The sequence below is a fragment of the Homo sapiens genome, chromosome 10, assembly GCF_000001405.40.
Source record: "Homo sapiens chromosome 10, GRCh38.p14 Primary Assembly".
Lineage (NCBI taxonomy): Eukaryota > Metazoa > Chordata > Mammalia > Primates > Hominidae > Homo > Homo sapiens.
This window is the reverse complement of record NC_000010.11, coordinates 115,983,887-116,001,238: the sequence shown is the minus strand read 5'-3', so window position 1 is coordinate 116,001,238 and position 17,352 is coordinate 115,983,887. Positions and strand designations below refer to the sequence as shown.

At 41.6% G+C, this 17,352-nt stretch overlaps 1 annotated feature.

Moving 5' to 3' along the window:
* Positions 4,918-5,686: an enhancer, noted in NCBI's record as "OCT4-NANOG hESC enhancer chr10:117755064-117755832 (GRCh37/hg19 assembly coordinates)". NCBI's record gives its function as "activates a minimal SCP1, AML or CMV promoter by ChIP-STARR-seq in naive and primed H9 embryonic stem cells {active_cell/tissue: H9 hESC(naive and primed)}" and the evidence as "EXISTENCE:reporter gene assay evidence [ECO:0000049][PMID:30033119]".

Below are 17,352 nucleotides of genomic sequence, written 5' to 3'. Positions count from 1 at the left end.
CAAAGCAAAGCAAAATCGTTTATTTATGTTTCTCACCATGAGACCGAGCCAGTGACACACTTGTAAACATTTGTTCTTGCAGGGAAAAAGAGAAACCTAATTTCTTGTGTGACACTTGTACAACCCCACTGTGTTTGGATATTTTTGAGACAAGCAATAAAGGCTCTGTCTTCAAAGACTGGTTTGTTCCTGCCGTTTCTGAAAATAAAGGTGTTCTCAAAAACATGTCTAGAAAATGCTCCCAAATTCCAGGTGGTGCTTCTGTTCTCTCTTCCCTTCCCCTGCTCAGCTTCCCTGAGTTAATTACTAATTTCCCGTCACATCCCAAACCACAGATATATAATATTGCTGTTCCAGCCACCGGGGAGAGGGAAATGCCTTTTATTAAAAGCTGATAAATAGAAGTGACAGATTGGAAGGTCTTGATGAGATGCGCAAGTCAGAGTGTGTCCCCGGCCCGGTCATTCTGTCAGCTCAGGAAGGTTGTCGTTCTGACCTCTGTCTGACCTCAAGAATATATCAGAGCAAAATTCGCTCAGCTCCATCCTCCATCAATCAACAAACTCACACGGAGTGACAACTGTGTACTGTGCTCCTGGAAGAAGACACTGAACAAGCCAGCCAACCTCCTGTGGTAGGGTGGGCTGTGCAGGGTGTGCAGGCTAGGGCCCCGGGGGTTGAACTTGGACACCAAGAGCTCCCAGCTCAGGCTGGGCCAAGGAGTGCTGAGGTTTTTACAACATACGTGATCCTGGTAGACACACACACACACACACCCTCCTCTATCAGCCCGTGTGTGGCTCTACTCTCTCGTTTGGAATAAAAGTACACTTAGTCATAAATTTGAGTGACAGTAAAATGCAGCGGTCATGTGTATAGTGTCCAGAGCCAGAGAGGCCTAAGGTCAAATGCTAGCTCCTGCAGATACTGACCACGTGACCTCAAGTAATTTGTTAACCTCTCTGAGCTCAATTGTCCTCACCTGCAAAATGAAACTAACACCTGTGATTATTGCTATACTGCAGAGCTATCCAACAGGAATAGACTGAAAGCCACCAATGTAAACCATGTATGTAATTTTAAATTTTCTAGTAACAATATTTTAGAAGGTAAAAATAAAACAGGTGAATTAAATTACATTCGCATCTAACCCGATAGATCCAGAATGTAGCCTTCCAAGTCTTTGAAATCCAGTGTCTATTTTATACTGAAAGTGCATCTCAATTCAGATTCACCAGTAGTCACAAGTGGTTAGTGGCTACCATATTGGATAGCTCAGCTCTGGGGGTTAAATAAGTCAGCACAAGCCCAGATGCATAGGGAACCTTCAGCAAATGCTGGTCACTATGACTGTTAATAACACATCTGCTTAGAAAAATGTAGCTGAGGAAGTCAGACCTTTCTTCCATCATGGCTGCACTGAGTTAAAGCTCGTTCGTTCACAAGTCAGCCAGCAAGGCTTCATGTGGCATATCTAATGTGCTTTGCACCTGGCTAGGTCTTACAGGGTGAAATATACCCATAACCAATAAATCCATCATTCCTGCCTCCAGGAAACTTGCAGATTAGCTGATCATAGGAGTTAAAGTATCACAGAAAATTCATTAAAGATGAAAAAAAATAGAGCTAGACAGGGGAAGGGACTAACTTAAGGAAGCAAAAATAGCCAGGGCCAATGATCTCCATGTATGAAACAATCAGTTCATTAAGTGCTTGGTCAAAGGCTTAGGGCTGTAAGTCAGAAAGGGTAAGGTCAGATAGGGCTGTAAGACTCTGGAAAATTTCACCCTTGAGGCATGAGGAGAGGGGCAGGCTGTGCTGGGAAAAGTCACTTATGTTGAGAGCACATGGATTTTCCTTTCATCAAAACTCACCTATCCCAGCCTCATACTGGGGCATGCCTTGGCACTGTATGGCAAAGGACCAACGACTTCAGCAACTATCCCAAATATAAGAACATATATTTTCCCTCTCCACAAACATGACGGCCCATTAATTAACCCCAAATCTCACCATGTTAGTGAGAATCCTGTCCCTATTACAAATCTGTGGGTGATATGTCTGGGGTAAGGAAGAGGCTATAATCCTGTCCCATGGTTTGCTACTCTGAGAGGCCCAGGTAGGTCAGCAGGCAGGCATCTCGCTCCATACCTGGAAGGTTAAGCACCACCTTCAATGGGGGTCAATGCTCTCTTGAATTCCTGTAAGTTCTGAACAGATAATGATGCCTTACCAGCAACCAACTACAAAGACCAGGCAAATGTGAAGAGACAGCCAGCACAAGAAGAGAGTGTAGACCGTTTATGATGCTACCTGGTAAGGGTGTATTCTGCCAACCACCAAGTCCTTATACATGCACAGCATTTTATAAATTGCAACAGGTTTTATTTGAGCCTCACAAACACTTTGTTTGACAACGGAGCAGGTAATATGAGGACCTTTTTAACTCCCATGTCTTCTGGCTCTGACTTCCAATCCTCTAGCCATGAGTCAAACACGACCCGATTTTTTTTTTTTTCTTTTTTTTGAGTCAGATTTGGGACACCAGGTCTGACAAAGGATGTTAGTATATGAATTTTTATGCAAAGCCCTACAAAGTATACATGTGTAATTATATTGAATGATACATATAATAAGTTTTATTGAAGAGCGAAAATAACCTAAAATCAGGACTTTCCTATAATAGCCATGCAGTAAGACCAGTTCAGGATGCCACAGGGCAGTGGATAACCATCTGCCTGACTCATCAGCCCAGCAAGTAGCACCAAGAGTCAGGTGATCTCATAACTGGGGATAGATGAAGTTGTTAAAAGGTGATTCTCCTGAGCCAAGGTCAAGGTAACCATTGCGAGAAGCTCAGACAGACCCAAATTCTTGGGGAGAGGTCTTCAAAAGGCCCCTTCTGACAGATCTCCAGGACTACCCCACCCTCCCTTCTCTTCCCTTCTCTATTTGTCAATTAAAGGGAAGAGACTAAGTCAGGAAAGTCAGGAATAAGGCATTCAGATCAGTGAGGTCTCCTTTTGACAAGGTCAACAGATTGAACAGAAAAACCAGAGGAGCCCTGAGTAGAAATGCTGTCCAGTCACCACCTCATCTCACTGGTGAGTGCAGAGTGGCCTCAAGAGCTCAGCAGCAAGGTGCAGGCTAGACTCCAGATGATGATAACCCAGGGCCCCTGAGAGATCCCTGCTCAGAGGCCAAATCACTTTTCCAGGAAATTTTGTGCTCTAAGCAAGGGCAGGCTCCTGAGTGACTGGATGTATGGCTGCTCTGGCCCAGGTTGGGTGACTTGAGCTGCCTGGCATGTCTACCACGTCTACCCTGCAACTCCTAAACCACTATGAAACCCAGTCCTTCTCACCCTCCCTGACTCATCCTATGCATTGACTGTCCAACCCAAGAGCATTCACTGGACATCAACCATGGGGAGCTCAGGATTGTATCCTCAGAGCTTCTGAGCTCATTTCTGCCCCACCTCTTCTCATCCTAAACACACTGTATAATACCAACAAATGGATTTCCTAAAATACTTTTGTTTTGCCACTATGAAGTTCAGATTTTTCCTTTGTTCTACCATAAGAGTTATTTTAAATATTAGAATTCCTTTTTCAAACAACTTCCTGTAGAATCCCAATAGATGATGGACTTGGACCTTGAATCTCCAGCCTTGTGCTAAGTCCCTCGGAACTTTCCCTCATGGGCTGACCCTCTCCTAGCCACAGGGCCTCAGACCCTATCTAATGGACTAGCTGAGCAACAGACGCCATGACACCTCTATCAGTACAAAATCGGCCCGGGCCTACTCTTTTGTGTCCTGGGGCTATTGTAACAAGCACCACAAACTGATTAAGTTAACAGAAATGTGTTGGAGGCCAGCAGCCTGAATTGAAGTATCAACAGGGCGATGCTTCCTCTGAAGGCTCTTGGATAGTATCTGTCCTAGTTTCTGATAGTTCCTTAGCTTGTGGCAACATAATTGTAATCTCTACATGGTGTTCTCCCTGTGCGTATGTCTTATTTCCATCTCCACATTTCCCCTTTTCAGGAAGAAGCCAATCATATTGGAATGGAACCTACCCTAACAATCTCATCTTTACTTGATTACCTCTGTCAGAGGTGTTTAAACCAGAGCAACTCCATCTTGAATAGGGGCTGGGTAAAACAAGGCTAAGACCTGCTGGGCTGCATTCCTAGGTTAAGGGATTCTAAGTCACAGGATGAGATAGGAGGTCAGCACAAGATAAAAGGTCATAAAGACCTTGCTGATAAAATGGGTTGCAGTAAAGAAGCCAGCCAAAACCCACTAAAACCAAAATGGCAATGAGAGTGACTTCTGGTCATCCTCACTGCTATACTCCCACCAGCACCACGGAGAGTTTACAAATGCCATGGCAACATCAGGAAGTTACCCTACATGGTCTAAAAAGGGGAGGCATAAATAATCCACTCCTTGTTTAGCATATAATCAAAAACCTACAAAAATGGGCAACCAGCAGTCCTTGGGGCTGCTCTGCCTATGGAGTAGCCATTCTTTATTCCTTTACTTTCCTAATAAATTTGCCTTCACTTTACTTTATGGATTTGCCTCAAATTCTTTCTTGCACAAGATCCAAGAACCCTCTCTTGGGGTCTGGATTAGGACCCCTTTCCAGTAACATCTTTCTGGTGACCACAAAAGGGACAATACTGAGAAAACCCCCAACCCAAAGGCTAACTTTGGTAAGTGGTGGGGTCTGGTAACACCTCTGTAAAGACCCTATTTCCAAATTAGGCCCTATTTGAAAGTACAGGAGGTTAGGAATTCAACATATCTTTTGGGAGACATGATTTAATCCATAATATCTACCCAGAAGCATCTTTGTGTCTGCCCCCCAACCCAGGCCAACTTCCCTCTATGCTCCCAAAGCAGTTTTAAGCTTCTTAAAGCTTCTTAAAGCCACAGCTTGAATCTCAAGCATCTCCATTTCAGAAGAGAGTTTTGTCTTGACATTTCCATAACTAAAGGCTCCAGTTTGGTGTTTTTCCAAAAACAAAGAAACCATTTAGCCCATCACCACTTCTTATAAGATGGCAAGTTTTGGCTTTTTAAAGGCAAATTGGGTTTCCTTCATTGCTTTTTAGCTTTAGCCCAATAAGATTTCAAAAATTTTAACGTCTGTGTTTCTGCTTAGGTACTGTGTAATATTAATATACATTTATTTCATGAGTTCAAATGATTAAATGTTTGTGAATATAACGAAGTCAGTCAATGAGAAAAATGAACCTAAAACTTTGAAATCTGTGCCTATGGAAGAAAATGGCAATCTGATATCAGCCTTAACATCAAGTTTATTTGTATATGTGGTTTAAATTGTACAAAATGGAAAAAATCTTGATTTGGTCCAGTAAAACTGGGACAATTTACAGTTCAATAGCACATACTACAATCTCAGAAGTGCCTTCCATTAAACAGCTATGGCCAGAGTTTTATTCAAAGAGTTGATCTAGTAGCACAAGTTAACCCACTGGAGGTCAACAATGTGTTAGAATTTAGTGTAAATCAAATTTGTGTGTGCCAATGTAATTGTATTACTGTTTAAAATATGTAATTTGGAAAATTAAATTTAAATTATTTACAGAACTCCTGAAGCGCCTCTGTGGTGCTCTGGTCTTCTTTGGAAGAACATAATTAGAATATCTCTGACCTAGTCAGCCAGATCCAAGCTCCTCTGCGTCTTACCATCCCCTTCCACCTCATTCTCTTTTGCTCCTCCAACATGCAGCAGGCACGTCTAGCTTCAGGCAGACCAACTTCTCAAGGCTCCTGGTTCAAGTTCAGTGTTAAGTCTTTTTCAAGTGTTTTGTTTACTCTGTTACTACCCCAGCTCCACCAGCTCTACGTTCCCAACTCTTTCTTGAGTTTTGAGTCCTTTCCACTTTTCAGGCTCAAATCTTCCATCCGTCCACTTACCCCTCCACCAGACATCTGCTGGAAAGTGTGATGTACAAAGTGTGGCTGTAAAGATGATCAGACCACAGTGCTATCCTGTGGAGCTCCAGGGGCAGGTGCAGGGGAGACACAGTGTGAACAGGACATTAGAATACAGTGAAGTTGCTGGTGGAATGAAGGGAAGGCAGGCATCTGCAGGATCACAGAAGAGCAAGGAATTCCCTTGGAGGCCTCCAGTATACCCTGGTTTCTGTCATTTATGAACATCAGGTTGCTGCCAGTTTTCACTTTATTGTTCATGAATGTGTTCATAGGCATTAGCTCTATTTTCCCCCATCCCAATTCCATTAGAGACAAGCCTCAAACACCTCTGCAAGCCCTTCAGTGCCAGGCACAAGGATAGGCACGTAAGTGTTCAGGAAATGTATGTTGGTTGATCAACAAACTAAATAAAAGGATAAATGTAGATGAGGTCAGAGGAGAGGAAGACTGTAGGCAGAAAAGTGTCCAGGGGTGCCCAGAAGGCTCTGCAGTATAGCACAGAAGGTCACATTAGCCCTGCCAGCATGGCATCCTGCAGGGACCATATGGTTGTGCATTTAGCCCTGGCCCCAGTGATGATGTGGCCTTGTTCTGGCAGCTTTCTGCTCTCACTCCCTGGAACTGCAAAGTAAGATTCTGCACCTTCAGAACAGATGTGACTGGTCAGGCCAAAGCCAGTAGTGTTTTGCTAGAGGATTAACAAAAGCTCTGGTTTATAACACTTGCCAATTGCTATAGTGTAAATATTCCCATCATGGTTAATTTCAAGCTACCAATGTGGCTTCACTGAACAGGGAGCTGAGAAGAAATGCACACAATTGGCCAGTATGAGGTAGCTCAGACACAACATTGTTTGAAGTTAACGTTTCATGCAAGGGCTCACTCAAGGATGGCTCCTATAATCAAATAGGACATTCTGTCTTTGATTAATTTCTATTTCACTGTCAAAAATAGAATATACAAGAGCTTATTCATAATACAAGGCAGAAAGACAGCCGAATGCCTCCCTTCCTTCTAACTGTCTGTTTTGATGAGTAAATAACGATTGACTGGCTTACAGATGAGACAGATCAAAACCAAGAACAAGATGCTATGCTTTGCAGGACTCTGAAGGTTCCAGCTCCTGAGTGTTTCATTACATTTGCATTCCAGAAATAAAGCCCATCCTAAGATCCTATGCAATGTTCCTAAAGGTAGGGTCTGCAGACCAGCCTGCGGAGCTGTGAAAATGAAGATTTTAGTCCCATCCAAACTCCACTCTCAGATTGCAATGTGATAGCTCTGTGGTAAGGCTCCTGAATGAGTACTAAGGTATAAGAACTACTACTCTACAAAAGATTTCAGGAAGACATACAAGACTGCTCAGGCAACAACTTGCTATGGGCCAGTCTCTGTTCTAGGTGCTGGGCAAACAGTGACAAACAAACCAGATGTAGACCTTAAACTTTAATGGAGAGGTTTCCTCTTTTCCGCTTAACTCCCACACACTCTTCCTCTCCTCGCTTACCCCATCTATTCTTATTTTAGGATCCTTCCTCCCCAGATGACAGCTGATCTGCCTTCCTGAGCTATAGGGCTAGACCTGGCATGTATGGCCCCTTGGAGCTAAGACCCTGCTCAGGGGAGGGAGCAGAGGGTGTGCAGAGCCCTTCAGACCCTCCATCATCTTACTGTGGGCATTGGGGTAAACAGGAATCTCAGACTCCAGAATACTAGAACATTTCAGAGACACACACCTCGGAAAAGAGTAGAGCTTTGTGAATGCCCATTCATCTGTTCAAAGAGGAGCGTTCTCTCAGAAAGATCCTGTAACCCCAAAGCCTCAGTGTCCCACATTTTACTAGGTCAGCACAGCTCTTTTATTAGCTTCATCGTTCTCCTTTCTCAAGGTCACCAGTTTCCACTCACTGGGAGTAGCTTAATGGGCTGACATAAGTTCAAAGGGATAGGGGTCTCTTGGCTATGCTTTAGTACCAAATTTATGAATGCTGCGTGTCAGTAACAGTTGTTGCTTTGACTGATTAGCCAGCCTGTAAGAGCAATGAGTGAAAGTGACTTCCATGAGATATTTATTCAAACTTCTCTTCCAATTCCTGAGCCATGTCTGCAGTGACTTTGAAATGCAGATGGTGGACATTATTGTTCTGCATCCAGATTCTCTCCTTAGAGAGCCTGGTGGATTTGCTTTTCCTGCCATGGAGGAAGAAGCACTTCTCTAAAGTGCATGCATTGAAAGCCCATCTGTTGGAGTCCTCTGATAGGCATCACGGGTGGAGACACTCCTAATTTGTCTCTGTCTTTGCCACTGCATGGTCCCAAATTCATGAATGGGGTTTTATGCTTACCTCTTATAATTAATCTCTGTCTCACTGGGAGAAAAACCCAGCTAGCGACAGTGCAGCTTGTGTATCTGCAGGCAGCAGACATTACACCAAGTTTATTTTTCCATCATTAACTCTTCAGGTTTCTAAAACCAGACAGCAGGGTGAGCAAACAAATGAGCCTGTGGATGGCAACTGAGCCACTTGGTGTGGCCTGGGGGAGGACACCGGGTCAGTGAGCAATGATTGGGATGCATCAGGTCTAAGGGCTTTCTGCTGAATGGCAGCCCCAGGGAGCACTTTCCTCCTCAGCAAGTGTCTGCAGTTGAGTGGAGTGGTATAACGAGCAGCCTCTTTTCAGGAGCAGGCGACCACAGCTCCCTCCTGCATGTAATGGCCTCTGTTTCCCCCTCCCTATTGGCAATTAACACTAATGCCATACTGGTTTTTAGGAGGTGCCATTTTCCTTAAGTGGGCTCCATCTGTGAACTTTGCTGAGTTCTGGCACCCTCCATGGGGGCTGGGAATAGCACCAGGCTTGGCCATTAACTTTCTTGTTGGCAATTTCTACTCTCTGCTGTTCTGCAGAATTATATATGTGATGGGAAGTACAAGCACACATGGCCCTAATCCAGAACTTGGTTCTCAGTGCTTTGGACACTGTATTAGTCCATTCTCACACCGCTAGAAAGAACTGCCCAAGACTGGGTAAATTATAAAGAAAAGAGGTTTAATTGCCTCACAGTTCCACAGGGTTGGAGAGGCCTTAGGAAATTCACAATCATGACAGAAGGGGAAGCAAACATGTCTCTCCTCAGATAGTGGCAGGAAGGAGAAGAAAGAACTGAGCAAAGGGGGAAGCCCCTTATCAAACCATCAGATCTCGTGAGAACTTACTCATTATCATGAGAATACCATGGGGGAAACCAACCCCATGATCCAGTTACCTCCCACTGGGCCCCTCCCACAACACGTGGGGATTATAGGAACCACAATTCAAGATGAGATTTGGGTGGGGACACAGCCAAACCATTTTAGGCACATCTGCTTTCCTGGTTTGTGGGTGCTGGTCTCCTTCTAGATGATGCTCTAAGTGGAATCTCTTGGCTTGTGGAATCTTAAGAGCAAAACATACAGGGCATAGGTGAGAGGAGGGGAAAAGAAGCAGGCTTTTCGAAATGTGGATGCTCATTACTTGAGGCCAACACATGCAAATTACCTTTTAGATGAAGGTTAAAATAAAGTATTTAGAGGAAGTGTTCACCTCCTTAACTTCTTTGGGACTAATGTGCCTGTGGTTGTGGGCACCTGTTCTTCTATCTCGCTAGCCATTCCTTCTCAATTTTTATCTGAAGACTCACTTGTTACCGCCTTGGTAGCACAGCTTATCCACTATAGTCTGAATGTGTCCCTCCAGAATTCATGTCCCCTTTGTGGTGATATTAAGAAGTAGAACCTTTGGGGGAGTGATTAAGTCACAAGGGCTCTGCCCTTATAAATCAGATTAGTGCCCTTATAAAAGGGGTTTAAAGGTGCCCCTTTCCACTTTGTGAGGATGAGCCTAGAAGATGCCATCTTTGACAGCCCTTATCTGACACCAAATCTGCTGCCACCTTCATCTTGGACTTCCCAGCCTCCAAAGCAGTGAGCAAGAAATTTCTGTTGTTTAGAAATCACCCAGTGTGAAGTATTTTGTTATAGCAACCCATATGGACTGAGATGCTGCCTAAAACTGAGTGTACAAAAATCATTCTGTATTTAAATCAGAGTGAAGATCTCTGTGCTTTCTCTTTGTGACCCACCAGATTCATCAGCACATACATGCTCTGGGTAGATTGGTTGGCTTCCAGACATTTGTTCCATCCCTGCCTCAATCCCCCTTCCAGATGATTGGTCCAAGGAAGTCAAGCTAATTCATTCCCTTTGCTATTGACTGGTTCAAGAACAGGTTTGCAGCCCAATCAGAGACAACAAAATTTGAGGGGAAGAGACAGCCTTAGAAAGAAGCAGTTTCTTCCCTACATTCATCCAAGTTTCCACCTGGTCAGCCAAGATATCCCCCCCAAATCTACATTTTTAATCTGTTTCTTTCCTGAGCTCCAACTCCCTGTATCCAGCTGCCCATGGGAATCCCAGTGTGGTGGAGTGCCATGAGCAAAGCCCTGGGTAGGCATTCAGGAGAACTGTTGTTCCCTGACCTCTACAATTGCTTACTTATTGGGTTGTTCCACATGACTCATGCTAGGCAAGATTCAATTTTTACAACCAAATTTGACTCCAGCCTTCTGAGCCCTGAGCCCCTAAAGCAATTAGTTGCTCCTCCTGCCTACCAACTCTGTTGGTTAATATCATCAGTATTCATCCTGTAACCAGGATGCAAACCTCAGGTTTACCTTCAATTCTGCCTTTCCTTTATTCTACCACAACCAACCAGTTATCCAACCAGTGCCCTTTCTCATAATTCAGTCTTGCTCCTGCCCCTACCTGTGGGATCTGCCTCCTTGAGTATAAGGAGGATAATTATATTAGCTCCAGATCCCAGGTGCTTTGTACAGTCTCTTTCCTCTGAATTGGTCTACCGTGTGGATATCACACAATTTCTAAAGGTACTGATTTAACTCCCTCTGCCCTCTGCTCAGAAAGATGAAAAGGCAACTGATAGCCTTTAGAATAATTACACAACTTTGGCCCATGGATCAGCATGATATAGCACTAAATTCAACTTTCAGCCTTATTACTTGCTATACTCCTGTTTTCTTGATGCATATTTTACAGAACTTGGATTGGGTTAAATTGTATCCCCCCAAAATTTGTTTCTACCTAGAACCTCAGAATGTTCCCTTATTTGAAAATAGGTCTTTGAAAATGTAATTAGTTAAGATGAGGTCACACTGGATTACAGTGGGTCTTAATCCAAAGACTGGTGTCTTTATACAAAAGCCATGTGGAGACACAGATACACACAGAGGGAAACACTGTGTGCAAATGGGGGCAGAAGTCAAAGTTATGCTTCCACAAGCCAAAGAACACTAAGGACTGCTGAAAACCACCAGAAGCTAGAATAAGCGAGAAAGAATCCTCCCCCACAGGCTTCAGAGAGATTACAGCCCTGCCAACACCTTGATTTTGCACATCTAAATTCCAGAACTATGAGACTAGTGTTCTAGGCTAAATTGCTACTATTTCAAGTCAGTTAGTTTATGTCATGGCATGCCCAAGGAAACCAACATAGGGCCTTTCCACAAACTACTCTCTGTTGTCCCATCTCCATGCTTCGGTCCACGTTTCCAAAAAACCCTTCTCTCACCTCTTGTCCTTTGACATCTGTAGATTTCTAGGAATTCAACTGATAAGTTACCATAAACAGCCTTACAAGGCCTGGAAGGGATTCTGTGCCTACTTTTCTCACGAGTACTTTGCATGATGGTTTTCCAAGCTGTCTCCCCCTAGACTGGGAATCAGACAACCGTAACCTGGTGCTCTTCCTCTTTGGTGCTCTGCCACCCAATGCAATAGGCCATGGGCTATGGTGGGATCTCACATGTTAAGGGAAAGATGGAAAGAATGAATTAGTGAATGTACTCCTTGACAAAAGTTTGTACCAGGCTTCTTTCTGTGGCAAAGGGAATGGCATATTTGTGAGGCAGTTTGCAAGTTGGGGAGGGCTATGCCCATTTGTTTATTCTTCCAGGTGAACTTTAAGATAATTTTTTCAAACTCATAAAAAAATACATGAGGACTTCATAAGAATTCCTGTCTTTACATTATGTATTCAAGTATTCTTTTTATTAAATGTTTCTAAACAGCTTTGAGATACAATTAACATATAAACTGTACTTTTTATTTTTTTTAAGACAGGGCCCCACTTCCTTTTCCCAGGCTGCAGTGGGGTGGCATGATCACAGTTCACTGCAGCCTTGACTTCCCAGGCTCAGGTGATTCTCCCATCCTAGCCTTCTGAGTAGCTTGGACTACTGGGGCACCCAACCACACCCTGGTTTTTTCTTTTTTTTTAGTAGAGATATTTTTTGTATTTTTAGTAGAGATAGGGTTTTGCCATGTCGCCCAGGCTGGTCTTGAACTCCTGCGCTCAAGTCATTCACCCACCTCAGCCTCCCAAAGGGCTGAGATTATAGGTGTAAGCCACCATGCCCAACCAAACTGTACATGTTTAAAGTGTACAAATCGATGTTTTGACATTTGTATACAGCCATGAAATTATCACCATAATCAAGATAGTGAACAATTTCCCCATAAGTTTCCTTGTGCCCATTTTACAAATTGTGATAAAATTTGTATAATATTTACCATCTTAACCATTTTTCAGTGTCTAGTTCAGTGACATTAAGTACATTCACACTGTTGTGCAATAACTGCTGCCATCCGTCTCCAGAACTTTTTCATCTTCCAAAATGGAAACTCGGTTCCCATTAAACAGTAACTTCCATCCTACTCCCCTCTAGCCTCCAGTAATCACCATTCTACCTTCTGTCACTATGAGCTTGACTACCATACATACTTCATATACATAGAAGCATACAATATTTGACCTTTTGTGACTGGCTTGTTTCACTTAGTATAACGTCTTCAGGGTTTATTCATGTTTTAGTATGTGTCAGAATGTCCTTCCTTTTTATGGCTGAGTAATATTTCATCTTATGTATATACCACATTTTCTTTATCCATTCACCTGTCAACGGATATTTGGGCTGCTTCCACCATTTGACTACTGTAAATAATGCTTCTGTGAAGATGGCTATACAAATACATGTTTGCAACCGTGCTTTCAATTATTTTAGGCATATATCCAGACATGGAATTAAGGAACCGTTATTTGTGTCCTTATGAAATTCCACCCTTCAGCCCCTCAACCCCCATTCCCAGGCAACTGCTGATCTACCTTGTCACTATAGGTTAGTTTGCATTTTCAAGAATTTTAAATAAGCGGAATCATACAGTATGTACTTTCTTGTCTTCTTTCACTCAGTGTACTTATTTTGAGGTGCGTGCATGCTCTTGGGTTTACCCATTCCTTTTGATTGTTGAGTAGTTTTCCATTATATAACTATATCACAATTTCTTCATGCATTCACCGTTGAAGGCCATTTGGGTTATTTCTAGTGTTTATTATAAATAGAGCTGCTATGAATGTGCATGTACAAGTCTTCCTGTGGACATGTGCTTTCACTTCTCTGAGGTAAATAGCTATGAGTGGAGTAGCTGGATCACATGATAGGTGTATGTTTCACATTTTCAGAAATAGTCAAACTATTTTTTAAGTGATTGCATCATTTAACATTTCCATCAAGGCATGAAAGTTCCAATTGCTCCACATCCTTACCAACACTTGCATTGGGTGATCTTTTAAATTTAGGCCTTTTCAGTAGGTGTGCAGTGGTGATATGGTTTGGCTCTGTGTCCCACCCAAATCTCAACTTGAATTGTAATCTCAATTGTAATCCCTACATATCAAGGGAACAACGGAGGGACCTGGTGGGAGGTGATAGGATCATGGGAGCGGTTTTCTGGATGCTTTTCTCATGAGATCTGATGGTTTTATAAAGTACAGTTTCCCCTGTGCTTGCTTGCTCGCTCGCTCTCTCTCTCTCACCTGCTGCCATGTAAGATGTGCTTGCTTCCCCTTCTCCTTCTGCCATGATTGTAAGTTTTCTGAGGCCTCTTAGCTATGCTTCCTGTTAAGCCTGTGGAACTATGAGTCAATTAAATCTCTTTTCTTTATAAATGACCCAGTCTCAGGTATTCTTTATAACAGTGTGAAAATGGAGTAATACAAGTGGGATCTCACTGAGGCTCAATTTGCATTTTCCTATTGACTAATAATGTTGAACATCTTTTAATCTTTATCTGCCAACTGTATGTCATCTTTGGTGAAGCGTCCGTTTAAGTCTTTTGCCCTTTTAATTGGGTTATTTGCTTTTTGTATTGAGTTGTAACATGACTTTATATATTCTGGATGAAAGTCCTTTAACACAGATATACTATTTTCTACTACTCTATGACTTGTCTGTTCATTCTCTTTACAGTGTCTTTTGAAGAGCAGTAGTTCTTAATTTTTATGAAGTCTTACTTATCAATTTTTGCTTTTATGGCTCATCTTTTCAGTGATCCATATAACTCTGTCTAACCAAAGTAACAACTATTTGCTTCTGCATTTCATTCTGGAAGTTTTATAGTTTCAGGCTTTACAGTTTGGTCTGTGACCCAACACGAGTTAATTTTTTTATATAGTGTGAGGTAGGGATCAAAGTTTATTTTTTGGAAGGGCCTATCAAATGGTTTCTCCAACATTTGTTAAAAAGACTATTCTTTTTCCACTGAATTGCCTTTGTATCTTTATCAAAAATCAATTGACCATATATATGTGGGTCTTTTCCTGGACTCCTTTTTCTGTTTCATCAATCCATTTATCTATCTTTACATCAATACCATACCATCTTGGTGAAGTCTTGAACACAGACAGTATATGTCTTCTTTGTTATTTTTTAGGGTTTTGTTTTTTCCTTTTTCCAATTCTAAGGTCGTTTGGATTTCCATGTGTATTTTAGAATCAGCTTGCCAATTGTATTAGTTTTCTATTGTTTCTATAACAAATTACCACAAACTTAGCAGCTTACAACAACATAAGTTTATTATCTCACAGTTCTGCCAAAGCTTGACATGCATCTTACTGGGCTAAAATCAAAGTGTCAGCCAGGCTGTGTTACTTGCTGGAGGCTCTAGGGAATGCTCTGCTTCTAAGATCATGCAAGCTGCTGGTGGAATCCAGTTCCTTGCATTAGGACAAAGCTCCCCATTGGCTTGTTGGCTGTCATCTGGAGGCTGCCCTTAGCTTCTTTATGCCTCTCTCATTCTTTCCACATGGGCCTCTACATCTCAGAGCCAGCAACAGTACATTGAAGCTTTCTCATGTCTGGAATCTCTCTGACTTTTCCTTTTGCCACCTCTTTCTACTGCTGCCTCTTCTTTCAGTTCAAGACAGTCATTTCCTCTTAAGAACACATGTGATTAGCTTAGATGGGCCTGCAGCTGGAGAAGAGGGTTTGGAGACATGGAATATAAGAACTTCCTAGAACTAAATCAAATGGAAACACTTCAGCAATAACAGGAAATATCATCTCCGTTTATATAGGGTGTCTGCCAAGTAAATGACTTTGTAACTTTACTTCATCCTCTTCATTTACATAAGGCATACACCATGTAACCAATGGAAACCGTAGAGGATGTCTAAACCCCCAAAAATTCTGTAACGGGGCTCTTGAGCCCCTGTGCTCAGGCCTGCTCCCACCCTGTGGAGTGGACTTTCATTTTCAATGAATCTCTGCTTTTGTTGCTTAATTCTTTCTTTGCTTTGTTTGTGCATTTTTCCCAATTCTTTGTTCAAGACGTCAAGAACCTGGACACCCTCCACTGGCAAGAGGTCTACCTGAATAATCCGTGATAACTTCCCTATGTTAAGTCCCATAACCTTAATTACATGTAAAAAATCCCCATTGGCATGCAACATAACATATTCATCCAGGGATATGGGCATTGTTGAGGAGCTATTCTGCCCACTCAATTAAAAAAAAAGCCTGCTAAGATTTTGATTAAGATTGCTTTGAATCTTGTTTCAATTTGGGGAGCATTGACTTCTTAATGACATTGAGTCATCTGATTCGTTAACAAAGTATCATTCTCCATTTATTTAGGATTTCTTTAATTTGTCCCATCGATGTTTATATTTTCAGTATACAGGTCTCACACATCTTTTGGTAAGATTTATCCCTAAGTGTTTCATGTTTTGATGGTGTTGTAAGTGGTATTTTTATTGTAATTTTAATGATTTGTTCCTAGTAATAAAAATGTAATCAATACTTTATATTGACCTTGCCTCTTGCAAACTTGCTATACTTACTTATTAATTCTAGCAGGATTTTTTGTTTTTGTTTTGGTAGATTTCTTAAGGAGATAATCATATCTACTGTGAATAAAGACAGTTTCAGTGCTTCATTTCTAATCTGAATACCTTTTATATTCTACCTGTCTTGTGTTATTGCACTGGCTAGAACTTCCAGTATAATGTTGAGTAAAAGTAATTAGATCAGCCATCTTTGCCTTGTTGAGGTGTTAGGGGTAAAACATTCTGTTCACCATTTAGTGTGATGTTACCTACAGGTTTTTTGTAGATGCCTGTTATTCTTAGTTCGTTGACATCTTTTAGTAAGAATACTGGATTTTGACACATTTCTCTTTTCTTGCATCCACTGAGAGGATTAGTTTTCTTTTTAAGTCTGTTAATATGATGAATTAAATTGATTTTCAAATGTTAAACCTATCTTGTATTCCTAGTATAAATCCCACTTGCTTTGATGTATTATTCTTTTGATATATTGTTTAATTCTATTTGTTAAAGTTTTGTTAAGAGCTTTTACTTACATGTTCATGAGGGATATTGGTCAGTAGTTTGCTGGCAATGTCTTTGTCTAATTTTGGTATCAGAGTAACGGTGGTCTTACACAATGATTTGGTAAGTAGTTCCTCCTCTTTTACTACCTGGAAGAGTTTGCGTAGAATTAATACCATTTGTTCCTTAAATGTTCAGTTATAATTCACTAGTGAAGCCATCTGGGCCTGAAGCTTTTGATTTTTTATTACAATAACTTTATTTAATAGATATAGGACTATTTGAAATATCTATTTCTTCTTGAGTGAGCATTGGTAGTTTGTGTCTTTCAAGAAATTTTTCTGTTCATCCAAGGTTTTACATTTATTGGCATAAATTTGTTCTTAATATTCTCTTACTTATCTTTGCAGTATCTTGTAGGATCTGTGGTGATATCATCTCTCTCATTCCCAATATTGGTAATTTGTGTTCTCTCTCTCTCTCTCTCCCTCTTTTACCTAAATAGTCCAGCTGGAAGTATATTCATTTTATTGATGATCTCAAATAACTAGATTTTTATTTTATTGGCTTTATTGTTTATCTGTTTCCTATCTCATTGATTTCCACTCTGATCTTTATTATTTCATTTCTTCTGCTTATTTTTTGTTCAGTTT